General features: G+C 36.1%; 1 long non-coding RNA gene across 3 annotated transcripts in view; it reads left to right on the forward strand.

Annotated features, from left to right (window-relative positions):
• Positions 1-18396, forward strand: part of LOC124902439 (uncharacterized) — an 820351-nt gene that overhangs the window by 325847 nt on the left and 476108 nt on the right. The window lies entirely within an intron of this gene.

Below are 18396 nucleotides of genomic sequence, written 5' to 3' on the forward strand. Positions count from 1 at the left end.
TGGCACATAATCACCAATTAGCAAATGTTTGTAGTATTAATTATTTATACTCTACAAGTAGTAAAAGTGAACATGCAGACATAATGTTTATTATTTTAATTTCACAAAAATACTGCAAAGTAGGCACTATTACTATGATCTCGTTACAGTCAAAGAAACTGAGGCAGAGAGAGGTCGCATAACTTGTTCAAGATTGCACAGTTATAGGCAGATGTGGGATTTCAGCCTAGGCTAAAGTTTCTGTGTTTTAATCACTGCCATGATATACAGATAACAGAATTTGATGTTACAGCAATGATGAATTGGTCTGAAGGGGACTCCTGTAGTAGTCAAAGACAGGAAGTTTATGAGAATCCATACAAATGAAAATAAGTTTCTGGCTGTCTATCATTTTCTCTTGTAAAAACATGTAGATGTCAGACATGGTTCAATTTAAAACATAACCTATGCGTCAATCACAAAATCATTTTGGTAGCTCTGGGGTGGCACATCAAAAATAGATAATAGGTAGTCAGCCTCCAGAGCAGCTAAAATTGAGGTGCAATGATAGTCTTTGAGGCTGCTGATACACACTCACATGGCATGTATGAAGTGACTTTGAGGCCATTACATTCTGGCCACAAAGCTAACTGATCTATGTGCTTGTGTCATTTAATCATCACCAAAAAATCAAGAAGTCAATGCCATTACCTTTCTTTTTAAATGGGGAAATTTGGGCTCAGAGAAATTAAATAACTTGCCCAAGGTCACAGAGTTAGTGAGTAATATAGCTTGGATTCAATCGTAGTTCAATTTGACTTTAAAGTTCAAGCTTTTAATACCATTACACACACACACACACACACACACACACACACACGCATAAATGTAGGTGGAATTTATTTGGTAAAAGGTTCCAGTTTAGGAAGAAATGGAATAGTAAGAGAGGAAAAGGAAGCAAGGCATAGAAGCTCGTTGTTTTTGATAAGTGAGACCTAGTAGAAACCAGTGTTCCAAATGGCAGTGTTTGTTGGAGACCTTGCTGCTTATCACAGGTGCAAGTTTCTTCAGTTTTCTGAAGTCTGAATAGCAGCAAGAGTTTATTTCAGAGTGGTGAGTGATGAGCAGACCACCTAGCACACAGGGAGGTTTGCAACAGGTAAGCAGGAAGTGGGACTGTGGTAAGAAACTGACAGAAGGCATTGCTGAGGAGCCGAGGCCAGCAAAGTCACCTTGTGTGCCCACTGCCCTGAGCCTGTGATTTTCTTGGGTAAAGTAAGCTGGCTGGAGAATTGGTCTCTCAAACTAGCAAGGACAGGAAATTTGACCATCTCTGAAGGATAGACAAGGGAGCATTGAGAAGGATTATAGAAAGAGTGAGTCTTTACATCTACTAGAACGTTCTCTTGTTATGAAGAGGATGGAATTCTAAGAAGGTTTTGTTGTCTGAGTGATATGATATTGAATATGGACAAAGAATGTTTGTATGTTTGTGGTCTGAGTATTTCCAAGGAGGCCACAGATTTGACCCTAGTCACCTTTACAGCCTTCGAGCACTCCTCAATTTTAGCCAGATTGGGCATTCATTATTTCTTAAGCACATCTGAAGTCTCCCACCTTTAAAGTGTGTTCAATTCAATCCAGTTTAGTACTTACTGAGTATCGACTATGTGCTTGACACTGTTCTAGGGGCTTTGGTTGATCCAGCTTGTTTATGAGATTTATTGCTTACTAAAAAGACAGATAGGTAAACCAATTATTTCACTCTAAGTGCTAAGCACTAAGAAGTTTGTACTGGGATCTATGAGACGACAGAGAAGGGTCACTTAACCCACCACTGTACTCCCTCATTTATGGTAAGAAGGCATGGAAGAAGGCCTATCCTATCACTTCAAGGAGATCATTTTGACATGCATAGGGTTTTTCTAAAAAGGAGGTAGAATAGTAAAAATAACGTATGTGCTGGGCACAGTGCTATATGATTTATATGCACTGCATCATTTAACCATCCCCCAAAATCAAAAAGCAAGAAGTAAACATCACTATCTTTTTCAGATGGAAAAACTGAGATTCAGAGAAGTTAAATAACAAGCCCAAGGTCACAGCATTAGTAAGTCAAAAAGCCTGGATTTAAATCTAGTTCTGACTTTAAAGCTCGAGTCCTTAGACACTGTTACACACACACACACACACACACACAGACACACACACACACGTATGTGAAATTTACTTGGCTTGAGGTTTCTGTCTGGCACTTTTTAATAAGTTTCGGAAGAAGTGGAATAGTAGAACAGGAAGAGGAAGCAGAGCATAGAGGGAAGTAATTTTTGATGACAGGTGAGACCTGGTAGACGTAGTTCACTTTAAGATTCTAAATTAAACTCAAGTGTCATTTTTAAGGTGGTCAGCGAGGATATGGCCTGAGGCAGGGGAGACTATATGATAACTTTTGTTAGTGGCTTGCAGTTCTTACACCCAAGGAGCCAAAACTTCTAGAACCAGTTCAGTGCTCTGGGCTCCAGGAGGCTGATGGAATATAAGTGGCCTCAGCCTTCTGGCTCTCAGACAAAGGGGTGACACAGTAGTGTTTCAATAACTGTTTTTTTTTGTGGGTGTGTGTGAATATCTCCTCCTTCACAGAAAGGGAGAATGTGGTTTAATATTGAAGGGTAAGGTCTAAACTTGGATCTGGACACAATTTATTAAAGCTCCATTACTTCAAAACAACTGTCCAAAAATTGTCACTATCCTGTATGCAGGTAGAGATTTGGTCTATTCAGAAACTAAAAGGTCTTTTTTCAGGCAAGATTGTTCCAACTAACCTAATCTAGGAAAATACTTTACCTAGGCAACTGAAGACCAAGCAATTATCTTGAGTTTATGTACATAGAAATGTATACAAACTGTGTATATACTGCACTACTGAGGGAAAGCTAGCGAATGATTATGACATATCTATGATCCTTTGCAATGGGCACCATTACAAAACATCACAGAGTGCTTACTTCAGAGATATAGCCTTTCTGTTTAATTTCCAGGGTACTTTTTTATTTTTGGTGTTAGGTGCTGGTCTTGGTGATGAAAATATGACTCAATAATGCTGGGAAGTAAATTCAGATAATACTTTATGGTGCATTGATGTACATTATCTCATTAAACCAATTGTGAGAATTTGAAAGGGCATGCATGTTTTGTTCTATTTTAAAATTAGGAAAGGAGTGACTTTTCAGTGTTTTTTAATTGTCACCTGTGTTCTGGGTCTTGTCATCCTTCCCTTCAATTTCCAAATTCATAAAAGTTTAATGATAATGCCTTTTCTCTCCACTGTGTTGGATTCCTTCACCATTTAAAATCAGGAGACTGATTTAAAACTAATTGATAAAAATCAAAATATGCAAATCTAACTTATTAATCAGAACTAAGAATTTAGAATCCTTAATTTCAATTCAGTTTCCTATCGCTCTTCACTTTCTTTGTCTCTGTTTTTCCCACAATAATAAAGTAGGTTGCACCAAAATAATAGTTTTCCAAGTCCTATAGTTGTAAGTCATAAAACATTATGACCAAACCACAGTATTTATGTGGAGTGATAAAGTACCATCTGAATGTCATGTTTCTCTTCATCTAAATATTTAACTGGCCAACCAATTTAAAAGAAACTTAAAACCGTGGGACCACATTATGGCAACAGTCTCTTATGTGGAACTTTATGATAGCTGTGTCTACACAGAACCTATGTCTAACATGTTTGAATAGGCAATTTTATTCCCCAACAATATACTAGAAGCGTAAACATTTATAATGGAAAAATACATATGCTTATGAGAAATGTGTGTTTACACTAGAAACATTGCAATTAGTGGATCCAGCACTCAAGCTTCTGACAAGTTTGTGGACTTCCTGAGTGCAGCTTAGGGTTTTACATTCTACGCCTTCTTCTAGCTATCACCATATTTTTCATTTTATCTTTATTGTCAAGCTTTTTGAAAGAGAAATAGAAACTAAGTATTTATACTGCCTCATTTTCCATTAACTCCTCAGTGAATTACCATCTGGCTGTTATTCCATCCATCTTCTTGCCAAAGTTATATGTGAACTCTTAGATGGCAATGCCAAAAGGATACTGTTGAGGTCTTGTACTTCTGATGTTGCTGCAGTTGTTGACACTACTTATATGTCAGTTTGAAACTGTCTTTTTCTTTGGTATATATAGTGCTTTTCTCTCTTGATTTCTCATCTTCTTGTCTGGATGCTGTAGTGTAATCTCATTTTTGAGCATACCCTTTAAAAGTTTATGACACAAGAGAGTCTATTCTGACCTTTACTTTTCTCACTTTATTCACATTCTTATCTATTCTAGTGCTTTCAGTGTTTACCCCTCTGTATTTGATGACTCCAAAATTTCTACATAGTTTTATGTCTTTATCCTAGACTTCTCTCTTAGATCACAGATTCATATAACTAGTTGATTACTGAAAAACTTCACATAAATATCCCATTCACTCATCCTTATGTCAATCTGCTCATTCATTTACCGTAGCTTTTTGTATGTCCCACAAGCATACATTAACATTAAAACCAAACCCCTCATTTTGCCCCTGCAATAGCATCTATTTATTCTTCGTTTTCTATCTGATGCCTGGAAATGTTCTCTGCTTAGTTATACAAATTAAAAAAACCTGGTAACGTACTTGATTTAATGGTAAACTGTGCTCTCTAAAGGGGGATCCCTGGCCTTGGTAGTTTTGAAATCTTTCCAGGTGTTTCTAATGTATATCCAGGGTTGAAAGCTCTTCTGTAGATTAGTGCGTCACCAATTTTGATGTGCACAAGAATTACCTGGGGATCTTGGTAAAGTGCAAATTCTGACAAGGCAGGTCTGGGTTGTGGCCTGAGGTTCTGCATTTCTAATAAGCTCCCAGATGATGACAGATGCTGTTGGTTTGTGGAAAAACTTTGACTATTAAGACTTTAGGTGATTCCGTGATAATATCATCGGTTTACCTGTCCTCTCTTAGGGTTTGTTTGGTGGAATATCTGGAGGATTTCAAAGAGGATGTGGATTATTTCACCCGTGCTTTTAGCAGTGCACCTTTTTGGTGAATTAGGTATTAACTAAGCCTTTCTCTTTTCTGAATAGCATATTTTAATCTCTCATTCTGAATTAAAAATGTACCAGGGACTTTGGCTATGGGATTTCAAGAGCTGCTTAAAGTACCATCATTCTGTACATAGAATAATCATTTAGGTCTTGTCTTTCCATCTCCAGCCTAAACTCATACCTCTTGTCCTTTGAGCCATTCTCCCTTTGAAGCTGGACCATTTATATATCAATATATGTATCATCAACTCACAGGGCTCTGTGCTTTTATACATGCTTTTCCTTTGCCTGGAATATTTTCCTTTACATATGACTTATCTTTCATATTGCAGCTCAGATATCATTTTATTTTGAGTCACATATTATTCATGTGCTCCCATAATGCCCTTTATTATTTCTATCAAAGACACTTACTATTGCTTTGTAGTTTTCAGTTTACTTGCTTATCTCTTAATTAACTGTGAAGCTCCTGAAGAGAGTACCCTAGAACTTTAGTGCCTAACATGATGCCTGGCACATTGAGAGATTCAATACTTTCTGTGGAATAAATTGCAGCTATTGATTGAAATTTAAGATGATAAATTAATTTACATATTTATTAATCAAGCTCTAGAGCTTGATGCATCTCTAGATATTTATCCTGCCATACTCCAGTCAGATTAGGCAGCAACATTGGAGTAAATGAGCATTAAACATGAATACAGCAATATAATTTCAATCATTTCTATTGGTCTGTGCCTTGATGGTTCATAGGTCATCAACTCAAGAGTTGATGAGCTTGTTTCCTGGTCTGTTTAAATTCTTAAATATTTTGAGGTTCCTTGTGTTATATATAAAGTTTCAGTGCCAAAAAATAAATAGCACTTGAATATAAAATTTTCTTGTTAATTTTCAGCAAGGCAAGGTACTTCTATAGAAGGTTGCACCCTTAAAGATGGAACAATGGTGAGCGCACACTTGGACAAGAGAGGGAAAGGGGTTCTTATCCCTGACATGTGTGGCCCCTGCTGCTGCTGCTGACCCTATTGGCTAGGGTTAGACTGCACAGGCTAAACTAATTCCGACTGGCTAATTTAAAGAGAGTGACGGGGTGAGTGGTTTGGCGGGAAAAGTGGTTATGACAGAGCAGGTAATCTGGATGAGTCAGGGTGGAGTAGGTAATCTGAATGAGTCAGGGTGGAGCAGGTAATTCGAATGAGTCAGGGTGGATAAGGTAATCAGAATCAGTCAGGGTGGAGCAGGTGATTGAAATGAGTCAGCGGGGAGCAGGTAATCGAAAAAGGTTGCTTTATGAGGAAGTTAAGTTTAAAAGTAGAAGGTAAAGAATTGAACATGCTGACATATTGATTCTTTGAAGAGAAACCATCATTCTCGGCAAACTATTGCAAGGACAAAAAACTAAACACCGCATGTTCTCACTCATAGGTGGGAATTGAACAATGAGAACACATGGACACGGGAAGGGGAACATCACATGGACACAGGAAGGGGAACACTGGGGCCTGTTGTGGGGTGGGGGAAGTGGGGAGGGATAGCATTAGGAAATATACCTAATGTTAAATGACGAGTTAATGGGTGCAGCACACCAACATGGCACATGTATGTATATGTAACAAACCTGCATGTTGTGTGTGCACTTGTACCCTAAAACTTAAAGTATAATAAAAAAAAAAAAGAAAATTAGACCAGTGGAAAAAAAAAGAAATTTAGAACTCCTATCTAATACCTGGTAGACAAAAGTCTATAGCAAAAATATAGGAACTTTGGTGTTTTCCAAGAAAAGAAGACTTAAACCACGAGCTTTTATTTTAAAGATTATTGTTTCTTTACCAACACGGCAGTACCCAATGTCTGCCTGAGGAATAAGAAATGGATTCATTCATGATGATTAATGGAGCCTCAGCTCCTGTCTTTATCCCAGGGATGTCCTCAGTCACGACATCTGGCTCTCGACACTCAGCCTGATGTCATTGATCTTGGCCTGAGAGGCTCATCACATTTCACACACTGCAGGCCACCATTAGCTTGAATAATTAAGAGTTGGTTAAGTCTTACCCTTCCAAGATTCTGTCACGAACTTTAACAGTTTGGAGAGAATTTAAGTAATTTGGATAACTGCATAAACTCTTTATTGAGATTAACTAGATTAGACTCTAAACAAAGATGTTTTTAAAAACAGAAGATTCACAGGCAAACAAGTTTTTTTTCTTGGAAAACAAAATATCATAGATAAACTTGTACCTAATGTTAATTTATCTTATTCAAGAAATCTACAAGTGAAATAGATTTCTAACTTCTATTCCCTTCCATCACCATGAGCTATTGACAGTATAATAGCCGTCATTTAATATTATCAAAATCAATACCTTCAAACAAAAGAGACTGTTAGCTAAAAGCCTAATGCAAAGGAATGATCCATTGAGAGTGACACTTCATTTGTTTGGGTTAAATTTAATTGGTTGAATAAAAGTAAAATTCATCTGATCTTTTGTTCATTTAAAAAATTGAACCATTTCATTGGTGACTTAGACATGTCTTATCAGGTTCAGAATAGAACACAATTTTAAAAGTTTAAAATTTCACTTAAATACAACCAAACAGTTTTCTAAATATTCAAGAAAGTAAATGGTGCTACGTCACTTCACATGCTCTAAAATCTGTTGTATCCCAGACTAAAACTTCTATCCTCTTTTGAGCCAGTTCTTACCAAGAAAATGGCTGTGAACACCCTCTTCTCTGTTATGACTATAAAGTCCCATGAGGATAGGTCCTCAGACATTTTTGTTCAAAGCTCTGTTCCATTTCAAGAAGAAAGCTTGGCATATATCAGATACTCAATAACCATTAGATGAGAGCTATGAGAGTGCCTCCTACTTCCCTACTCCAGGATGATGTATAAGTGTGCGTTGTCAGTGAACTATTTAAGAGCTCCAGTTTCCCACATAGAACCAGTTCATTGATTTACTAATATGAAGCAGAAAGAGCTCCACTTTCTTTTCTGTCTAGTCTAGTGAAAAGCTAAATTAGGAAGAGCTGTATTTTCAGCTCACCACAATAATGGTCCCTTTTTTGCTTCATATGCATGACTTTCCCAATCCCTTAGGGTAAAAGTTCCAAATTATACCATGGCTTCCAAATTTTTCCGGAAGTTGTCTACATAACTCTCCAGCCACATCCTATTCCAGTTTTTCCTGTGTGCTCTGTGGTTCTGCCAAACAAGTCTTCTTTTATCCACTAAAGTTTTTATTTCTCTAGATATTCCATTTGGTTCTTCTAAAAATATTCTCCATTTCCTTTCTCACTCTGTTCATGTTTTTTTAATCCTTGAACATATTTCTAATAGCTGTTTTAACACCCTCGTCTTCCAATTCCATTATCTTTATTATTTTCTAGTCTGTTTCTATGGACTGCTTTTTCTCCTGGTTGTGTGTCATATGTTCCAACATCTTTGTACTTTTTGATTGGATGCCGTACATTGTAAATTTTATGTTGTTGAGTGTCTGGATTTTGTTGCCTTCCTTTATGGAATTTTCAACTTTGTTTTGTTCTGTTAGGCAGTCTATTTGTGGTCCCATTTGATTCTTTTCAGGTTTATTTGAAGCTTTATTAGGAGAGATCTAGAGTAACTGTTATCTAGGGCTAGTTTAGCCCAACTACTAAGGTGGACCAGACATACTGGTTCTATTTCTGTTCTTCAAGCATATTCTTATATGCTTCCCCACCGCTGTCTCTGTCATATTTTGACCTCTTTGACTCTAAGTTAGCTTTCTGTTGTTATATACCTCTATCATACCTTAAACTTCCCCTTCTGAAATTAAATGTGTAATTACATATTTAATGACTGTCATTCTTACTAGACTGTAAACTCCATGACAGCAGGAGACATTATGAATGGGCAGCTGTCATTTCACACCAAACAAATGAGACATATTTCAGGACTATGCAGAGATAATTTTCCTTTTGAGGACTTGGTCAATGAAAAGATGAGTCTCTCAGCTTCCACCTACAAGGATGGAGATAGTAGAGAAGCCATTTATTTCCTCTGCTAATAATTCCTTTTCCTCCCACACACTTCCAAAATGTCTGTTTTCACATATACTGTAGAATAAGCAGTGATTTCATCTGATTCCATCCTCCTGGCCATGACTGGCCAGACTGGGGATGGACAAGTGACATAAGGTAAGTCAATTATATTCTTTATTTTAGAGATACTAGTTAGGTTGGTTTTTTTTTTGTTTTGTTTTTTTCCTTGAAGCAGAACTATCCTTTCAGTGGTACTGAGCCATTGAGCATCAGGCTCAGTAGAAATCTGGGCTGTCTGGCAGAACACCATGCCCAGATAGATGAGTTGTTGATGCCAATAAGGCCCAGAATGGGTTGGTAGCTGGGTATAGTGGAGACAGGCAGGCCAAGTGTATGAGCAGACAATATAAAAAGATACATGTACATTGTGATTGATACTAGGTAGTTCTTGCCATAAGGCACCACGTTCAGTGAAGAGTTCATGGGAGGACTTCAGTCCTCAGGGTTATTGGTTATATTAGTTTCCTAGGGCTGCCATAACAAATTACAACAAACTTGGTGATTTAAAATAACAGAAATTTATTTTCTTAGAGTCATGGAGGCCAGATGTCTGAAGTCAAGGTGCCAACAGGGCTGGTTCCTTCTGGAGGTTCTATTCCTCTGCTCTGTGACTCTCTCCTAGCTTCTGGTGGCTGCTGGCAATTCTTGGCATGCCTTGGTGTATAGATATATCCCTTCAATTTTTGTCTCTGTCTTCACATCACCTTTTTCTTCTGTATCTCTGAGTGTTTCAAATCTTTCTCTCCCTTTTCTTTTAAGGACACCAGTTATTAGATTAGGGCCCACTCTAAATTCAGGATGATCTCATCTCAGGATCCTTAATTACGTCTACAAGGACACTAATTTCAAATAAGGTCACATTCACAGGTATGAGGTGGTTAGGACATAGGCATATCTGTTTTGGCATGTTATTTAACCCATTATTTTGGTAAAAGCAGAACTAAGTCCTAGGTTAGAAAAACAAGTGATCTATTTAAGGCAGCAAGTCATAGCTCAGGTATAGAAAAAGAAAACAGGAGTCTAATTTCAGGAACTCAAAATCAAGGTTAGAATAGGACCAGGATCAGTAGTACATGGAATGGAAGCTTAGTTACTAGTTGAGTAAGGCTCTTTCTATTCCAATAGATTAAAAACAGACTGTTAAATAGCCTGGGATATTGGTAAATTCACCAGCTGCAACAGCAGGGATGGTATTTGGGCCACAATAACAATAACTACTAAGCGCAGTAATCTGGGAGCTATAGACTCTGTAAAACAAAACAGACAGAATCTTAAAACAAACAAACAAACAAACAAACAGAAAAACACAAGTTAATTTGCTCACAGTTTACTCAGTGGCATGCACAGAAATTCTAACCAGCTCTTCGAGTTTCCTCCTTTGTGTATTCCACAAATAACTTTCTGCAAGTAACAGGAATTCTTACTTTCTTTTTTGCTCCAACCCCAAATATAAGAAAATTAGTCTCATCCTAGATTATGAAAAAAATGGAAAAATAGCTTGATTAAACCTTAATAATTTTTACCAATTCCCTTTTAAATTTCCTTATTGTGTGAATGATTTAAAAAATGCTTTAATACACAGTAAAAATATTTTATCAAAAATGTCATCAATTCCTTATTTTATCAGGCAGAACTTTCCTGAACACTAAGCTTTTTATTCCATTTTTAGAAAATTTCTTAGGCAATGATGTCCCACTTTTGACGATATTAAAATATGCTCTAACATGTTCAGAAACATATGTCTTGTTATTCCAAATCTGGCCTTTTTCCTTACTGTTTCCCAAAAATGGGAAAAGAAAAGTTGATGAAATTGAACAGCTTGATTTTTCTGTGAATGAGTAGAGCAGTTTGGAAAAGATAGGAGCATTAGAGATTATCTGAAGTCAAGGGCTAAGGGGTCAGAGGCCTAATTGGAGTTGTAAAAATCACTTTTTTTCAGAATATAATGACATTTTTCTGCCCTTCTGGATCCAAATAGTGTGTAACTTGGCATACCATGTCTGTTCAAATGACAGCAACTCGCTGTCCTTTAAGAACAAATACATCTTCTCAGCTGTAAGTAATGGTTTTTTCATTGGTTTGGTGTTTGATGAGCCAAGGCCTTTGGAATCAGTGCACACAGAATGCAGTTATGGCTGGGGTTTTTGGCCAGGTTCCCCACTGTCTCAGAAAATGACCAGCTGTCTTTTGAGGTGGCTTAAAGAAACAGCTCTCTGATGACTCAGCCGGAGGTTAACAACTCTAATAAGTGCTACATCCGATTGGGTTCTTTGGTGTCATCAGTGGCCTTGAGTCCAGAGAAGATAGAGGCTTTGAAACCCTGACACAAAATCAAACAGTCACCTTCTCACCCCCAGTCAGTTCATAAGAAAAGAACTGAAAAAATGGGCATTTCACAGAAGCCCTTACATAGAGCTTGCATCTTTTTTATTTTCTCTCTTACTAGATACTTTAGAAAGCTTTTGGAAAATACATTTAATCTATTTCAAAGGTCACAGCAACAAAGTTCTCTGCTCCATTCCTATGTCCATGCTTTGTCAGGCTTTAAAACTTCAATCTTTGTGGGGTTTTTTTTGACATCAACTGTAACAGGAGTGAATGAAAATTACTGGTGTTCAAGGCTGCAGATGAAACAGAACAGGCTTTTTCTCTGTATGTATTAGGGTGTCTGGAAATAGAGTTCTCATATTTTATGAATCAAAAATCAGTTCCGTTGCCTGACAAATATGAATAACCTCATGGGGATAATGAGTCAAAATATTTGAAATCAAGAATATTTTGGATAATCTGAGATGTGCTTTCTGTACATACAAAGTCTTGACTTAATTCGAATTTAGTGAAAGCTAAATGAGAACTCATATGTGTTTAAGTTCATAGCCTGGGTAGACTATTACTGTGTGTTATTGCTTGCTTTCCTTCTCATCAGTCTCTGCAAGAAGTTAAGAATATATAATAAAAGACAGCTTTCACAGGTACCACATTTTCCTAGCCAACCATTAATAATGAGGAAACACAATGCTTGTTTGTTAATCAAATGTGATGAGCAGATTAATGAAAAACACGTTCCAAGTTCACCTAAGTAATGATCTTGCCTCTATCTCTTAAGTCACCAGGGATGGTGTGACAATCACGTGGCTTAGGCTATTCAGTGATATGAATTTACTTAATTTGCTGTATTTCTTTCCTAGGGAAACTATGCAGACAATGCTTTTCATTTCAAATACGTGTCAGGTTTTTCAAAATCCCAACGTTATTGTAAGGGTGAGAAACAGAAATTGAGAGACAGGGAGTTAGTGAATATCCTTAGCCCATCAGACTGAAGAGACAGCTAAAAGCAGTGAGGTTATGTGGTTGGCCTATGCTTGTTATTGGGTTAGAAAAAATTGGATCTGCTTTGCTTTTGGTCAAATAAAAACAACACCAATACTAATAATGTAGGCTAAGTGCTTTTTGTGAATTATTGTAATCAATTCTTGCAGTAATCCTATGAACTAGATTCATAAATAACATTATGAATAAATAAATCTGGAGATGACACTATAGATTTAAGGCAGTGAAGCTGAGGATGAGAGATGTTAAGTAACTCCTGCATGGCCTTACAACTAATAAGTGGTAGAAACAGGATTTGAAGTTCAACAGCTTGTTCAAGTTCTCTGAGTCCCTGCCATCCTTAGGCCACCATTTCTTAATAACCCATGTTAGGGGTGCAAACAATTATAGCCTTTCTATAAGAGATTTTTGTCATAGTGTTGATTCACTAGATAGCAAGAATTGTGTTTTATTTTCCATTATGCAAAGTTCTTTGCACATAGAAGGAACTTAATGCATGTTAGCAGAATGAATTTACTTTTTAAATCTAGTTTTAACACTTATTCCAATTGTGTGCTTAGAAAAATATGGCACACAAAAGCAAAATGCGTGCATGAACTAGATGGAGTTAGATCCACTAACTTTGTTTCTAGACCCGGGGAGGAGAGTGTAGAAAACCTGCTGCCAATTGTTAGTCTCAGCAAATGAGAAGGTCGGGACATTTCTAAATGTGGATCAGCAGAGTAGATGAAGAGTGCCATATGGCCAAGAGAAAGGCCAAATGCCTTCAAGTATTAGTAACCTTCCACAGCTTCCAGTGTGGACAAGAGGACACAATAAACATTGTTCTTGGCTGTAAGAAATATCTCAGGACAAACAATCCTCTAAGAAATTTTTGAACCCAAGCAATCTAATTGTGCTAGTAAAATGTGCCTTCAGGCAGAATTAGAGGTAAAGTCAGTTAGTTTATTTATTGTCATCTCAGAGGCAAGTACATTTTTACTTTCACAATAAACTCACTATCAAAACTCACATGAAAACTTGGGATTCATCAGTAGCTCTGATGTTTGTCAAAAAATCTGGATCAAATTCTATCCACTAATCTCTCTCTTTCTGGCTCTAAAAACATGTCACATGGTGGCCTGCTATGGACATGATATGCCCTGTGTTAGATGAAGCAGTAATCAAAGAACTTGAGTTACATTTTCTCATCGGCCTAGTGAAAAGACAGCCTTCTTCTCTTAAAGATACAAAATTAACCTTTAAGTCATTTTTTTCCATCAGCACTTTGGTAAATTTCCTGTTCCAAGGGAATTTTAAAAAGTTGGTGTTGGCAGCTCTGAGGAATTAAGTAGAGAACATTACAAACTCAGGTTGAGAGAATTGAATGACTTCCTCTTGGCATTTCAGTGTCAGATTTGCTTTTTATCTGCCAAGGAGGTCTAGCAGGCTTGCCAGTGGATTCTTTCTTACAGGGGTCTAACATGAGCTTTACTGCCCAGTCCAATTACAGCATGACTATAAAGAAGTCTCTGTTTTCCAGTGAACAATAAATAGAAATATAGCATCCATATCTTTTGACTAGGAAATAGTGACAGCTGGCAAGGTATTTGAGGGGGTAATGGGGCAATTTTTGTTAAATATCAAGACTGTCTTGTAAAATCCACAATGTGTTGTCATTATATTCGTTAACGTTCAGAGACAAATATTGATCTACCTTGCCTATAGCATCACCAACAATAATAATAATCATAATTTCTAACACTACTGAAAATTTACTGTACACCAAATATAAATCCATTTGTTCCTTACAGTAATACTAGGAAATAGATCCTATTATTATCATCCACATTTGGCAGATGGGGAAACTGAAATACTGAGGGGTTAAGAATCTTTACCAAGTTCACACAGCTAGTCAGTGGCCAAGTTAGAATTTTAACCTAAGAAGTTTAGACGGAGAAAATATGCTCTTAACCATTATGCTAGATTGCCTGTATTTACTGGAGAACCAGGACATGAAAACAGAACTCTGAATAATAATCATTATAATAAACATTTATTTAGCACTATAGTGTGCAAGATACTGTACTTTTTTTTAAAAAAAAACTATTCTTAAATAGACATTTTATTTAGGAATAGTTTTAGATTTACAGGGAGGTTGCAAAGAATTACAGGCAAGTTGCTAATCTGCTCACGTTATACACATTTTTGTATTTAATCCCCTCAATAATCCTATGAGGTAGGTAATATTATTATCCCCATTTTACAGATGGAAAAACTGAGGCACATAAAATATAAGTCACTGGCCTCATGTCAGTCAGCATGTAAGTAATATGGCTGGGGTTCAAACCCAGGTGAGGCTAGTCATTCAAACCGAAGTCTCTTAATTTATATTTGTTGATGCTGAAGCAATATTTTGAAAAATGGACATCAATTACTGGATTCTTAAATTCAATAAAAAAGAATTTTCTTTATATTGGCCACATCTAATCCAAAGCAACCTCTAAAATTTTTCTTCTGTAAATTAGAAATCCTCCAACATCAAGTACAATGGCTAAATACAAAAAACTATATAAATAAAATCAAATTAGTTGTTCAAGAAAGACCAACTGGGTCACTGTCTTCCTCATCATTCCCTTTTCCAGTAACCCCCAAAACTTCAAAAAGGAGGAATAAATATAGTACATAGTGACAAATGATTTACAACCCATAGATATGTTTTTCAGGGAGATAAACTTACAAGTTCATACTTACTGGAATTTCTTTAATTTTTTTTCATATCTTGATTGTTTCTACATAGTCTGTTACTTTCCCAGTTGATTAGAGCTAAATATCAAGTATATTGGCATTTTTTGTGATGATTTACATTTCTGTTGAGGACAACCTGTATAAAACAGCGATCATGTCCCTGATATATACGAGCCTAGCAAATTATAGCTGTGTGTGTATTCATTTCCAAAGATAATAAATATTGCTACTCCAATACTTCTATCTTTAAAAAATGAAACTTAGGAACTTTTACACTGGCAAACATAGCTGATGATCATCTAACAAAGCATACCAATCACTTCTCTCATTAATCACAGTATATTAACATTATAGACTTCTATCAGGGGCTAAATTAGGAGGTAACTATTGTTTGAAAAGTGGGAATAGTACTAACTTTGAGAATTTTGGATATTAAGCTTCTTGGTACATCCAGAAGTAGACACTTTGCAACATATGAACATACCCACAACTTTTTCAGCCTAAGTAACCAGACCAATAATATGATGCTATCTCCTATATTTTCTTTCAAACTGTAACCTGATGACAATAGACAAGTGTGGAATGCCATACTTATGTGCAGTTGTTAAAATTCACTGGGTGATGCTGTCAGAGGCTAGGCGTTAAGGAGATCGGTATGGACATTTAGGTAACCCTAGCATGTGGATCATTACAGCAGAATTAAATAATGTTAGAGCTGTAAAAGACCCTTCTGTTTAATTCTGCTGCCACTTATGATTGATGAAAAATTAAAGTGCAGAGAAATTAATCAACCTGCCTTAAAACTCTCAGGAAGTAAGTGGCAAAATCAAGACTAGAACTCATATCAATGGATTCAGTTTAAAGAAATCTGCCTCAATTGGAAGGATAGAAGACTCTGACTCTGAAGGTACAAGCTTTCCCTCAGGATTTAATACTGAATCTAATCAATTCCTTTATCTTAGTTCATCAAAAGTGCAGCAAAGATGCAAGCCCTATACACGGGCTTTCCCATACCACCTGGAATATGTTGAGACTATGAATTAAGCAAGATGTAGATGAAAAATACTGAAATTAAATCATGAAAAAGACCTGGTACATGTAGATTCTTCCATTAGCAGTATGACTTTGGGAAAGCTTTAAAATTTCTCTGGTCTTTCATATTCTTATATTTCAGAGATTGAGTTAAAATTAAATTTTATATGCAGTAAGACTACTTTGATGACTAAAACACAGTTTCTTTGCCTTTGGTTGAAGTTATAGCAATATTCAGAAAGATAACCTTGGCAACCTCATACTACTAGAAAGTTCTGATTAGAATTCATATCCAAAAAATAAATTATAGAGAAAGGATGATTCTAAGAACTCATCTTAATTTATCTTCATACTAATGGTATAATACACTATTTTGTAACTGAGAAAACTGAGTCCCTGAAAGGTAAGGAAGTTGTTTGAAGTCCTATTGCTACTAAGGCACAGAGCAAGAATTCAAAATGTTTTTGCAGGACTCCAAAGCCACATATGTTTGTGTGAGCAAAAAACAGGCCCAGTTGGCAAATAAAAATCACAAAGAAATCACGGTATACAATGACTCAAAATCACAAAAGTCAGAGTCATCCAGTGTTATTTAGTGCTTGCTCAAACCCAATAGCCTTTGAGAACATCTCTTTATCACAGCAGGATGGGATGATTGTTTTTCAAAATGATGGCCTTGAATCATCAGTAAAGAGTAAATTCCATTCTGTATATTCTATTTAAGAAAGATCATAAAGTTCCAAATCAAATGTTTTAAATGTACAGCTTATCAGAAAAGCACAATTATATTGAATGACTCATTACCAGAATGTTCTGGGTCAGAATACTACTAAAATATTTTTATTCAGAAAACCTAAAAGTTATTTCCATAAAAGTATTCCTGCAGTTAGTTTGGAGAGGAATTTAATGGACTGTGCTTCTTTATTTATTTATTTATTTATTTATTTGCAGGTGACAAGGTTATATTTGAGGCTTAATCAATGGTCCAGTCATCCAAAATGCTACATCCTGCTTTTTCTTCCTGTACCTATTCACAGTTTATGAGCTGTGTTAGACCTTTAGAGTGGATGGCTCAGTGAGCAGTTTGTCAGAGAGAAGTGGGTGTTGTGTTGTTTTTTCTTTAAGTTTAGTGGAATAATGGTCGTTATTTAAAGCTAAGAATCAAGTTCTATCCAAATTGCCTAAATAATTTTTATTTTGCCATCCCTCCAAAGAATTTATTGGTGCATCTAAATGTGTTTGGTATAGATTTTCATTAGTACATTAAAAGAAAATGTGAAAACATCTTTCTAGGATGCTGATAAATTAGAGCCCTGCAGTTAGTTCTCATTGAATCCCTACTAAAAATAATAGAAAGTAAATTATAGTGCTCCTAGAATTTCATCCTAGTGCAAAACAGCAGCCTATTTTGCTGTATATCTACAAACCTGGTGGTATAATTTCCAGTGTATCCAGCTAATTAGGCAACCTTTGTGTTTAAATCTTTCAAACCTCTTTCATTACATTTGATGGTTTTTGAGAAAACAGCTGGAAATTTCTGTCAATGAAAACAGATTTTGTTTTAGTATTTGTAATTTCTTTTTTATCTCTGCATGCCAGTAGGATGTGCTGCAAATCATTTTAAAGACCTATACAAGCTGGACATATTGACATTAAAATAAAAGCAGAACCTTTTGCTTGCAGATATTAAAGTATTAAATATTAAAATTGATTTACTGGCAGGTTTAGCACAAAAGACAGCTGAAATAAGCTATGAGAATGAATGTAAATTGGGTTATATTGTTTGTGGTTTGAGCTGAATGAGGTAAAAATATTTTTACTTCATAACAATAAAACAAAAATAAATGTTGATATTAATTGTCCTAAATACTCAGTAAAGGAAAGATGTGACCATTTACTAAAATTAATGCAAATAAAATTCACAACATCTCTGTGGGTCTGTCCTTCATGCAGAATTGAGGAAAATATTAACCATCATTCAGGACAAAGACTGAGAAGTATCTGTCCCATGTGGGTTTAGAAGTCAATCATTTAATCAGTTCAGGAGATAAAAAGATTCCTAGACAAAGTTTGAACTGCTGTAGAGATTCTCTTCTTTTAAACAGGAGGAAACAGCAGATTGTTTGGAGATTCAGAATGAACCA

The sequence above is a fragment of the Homo sapiens genome, chromosome 10, assembly GCF_000001405.40.
Source record: "Homo sapiens chromosome 10, GRCh38.p14 Primary Assembly".
In the NCBI taxonomy this organism is placed as follows: domain Eukaryota; kingdom Metazoa; phylum Chordata; class Mammalia; order Primates; family Hominidae; genus Homo; species Homo sapiens.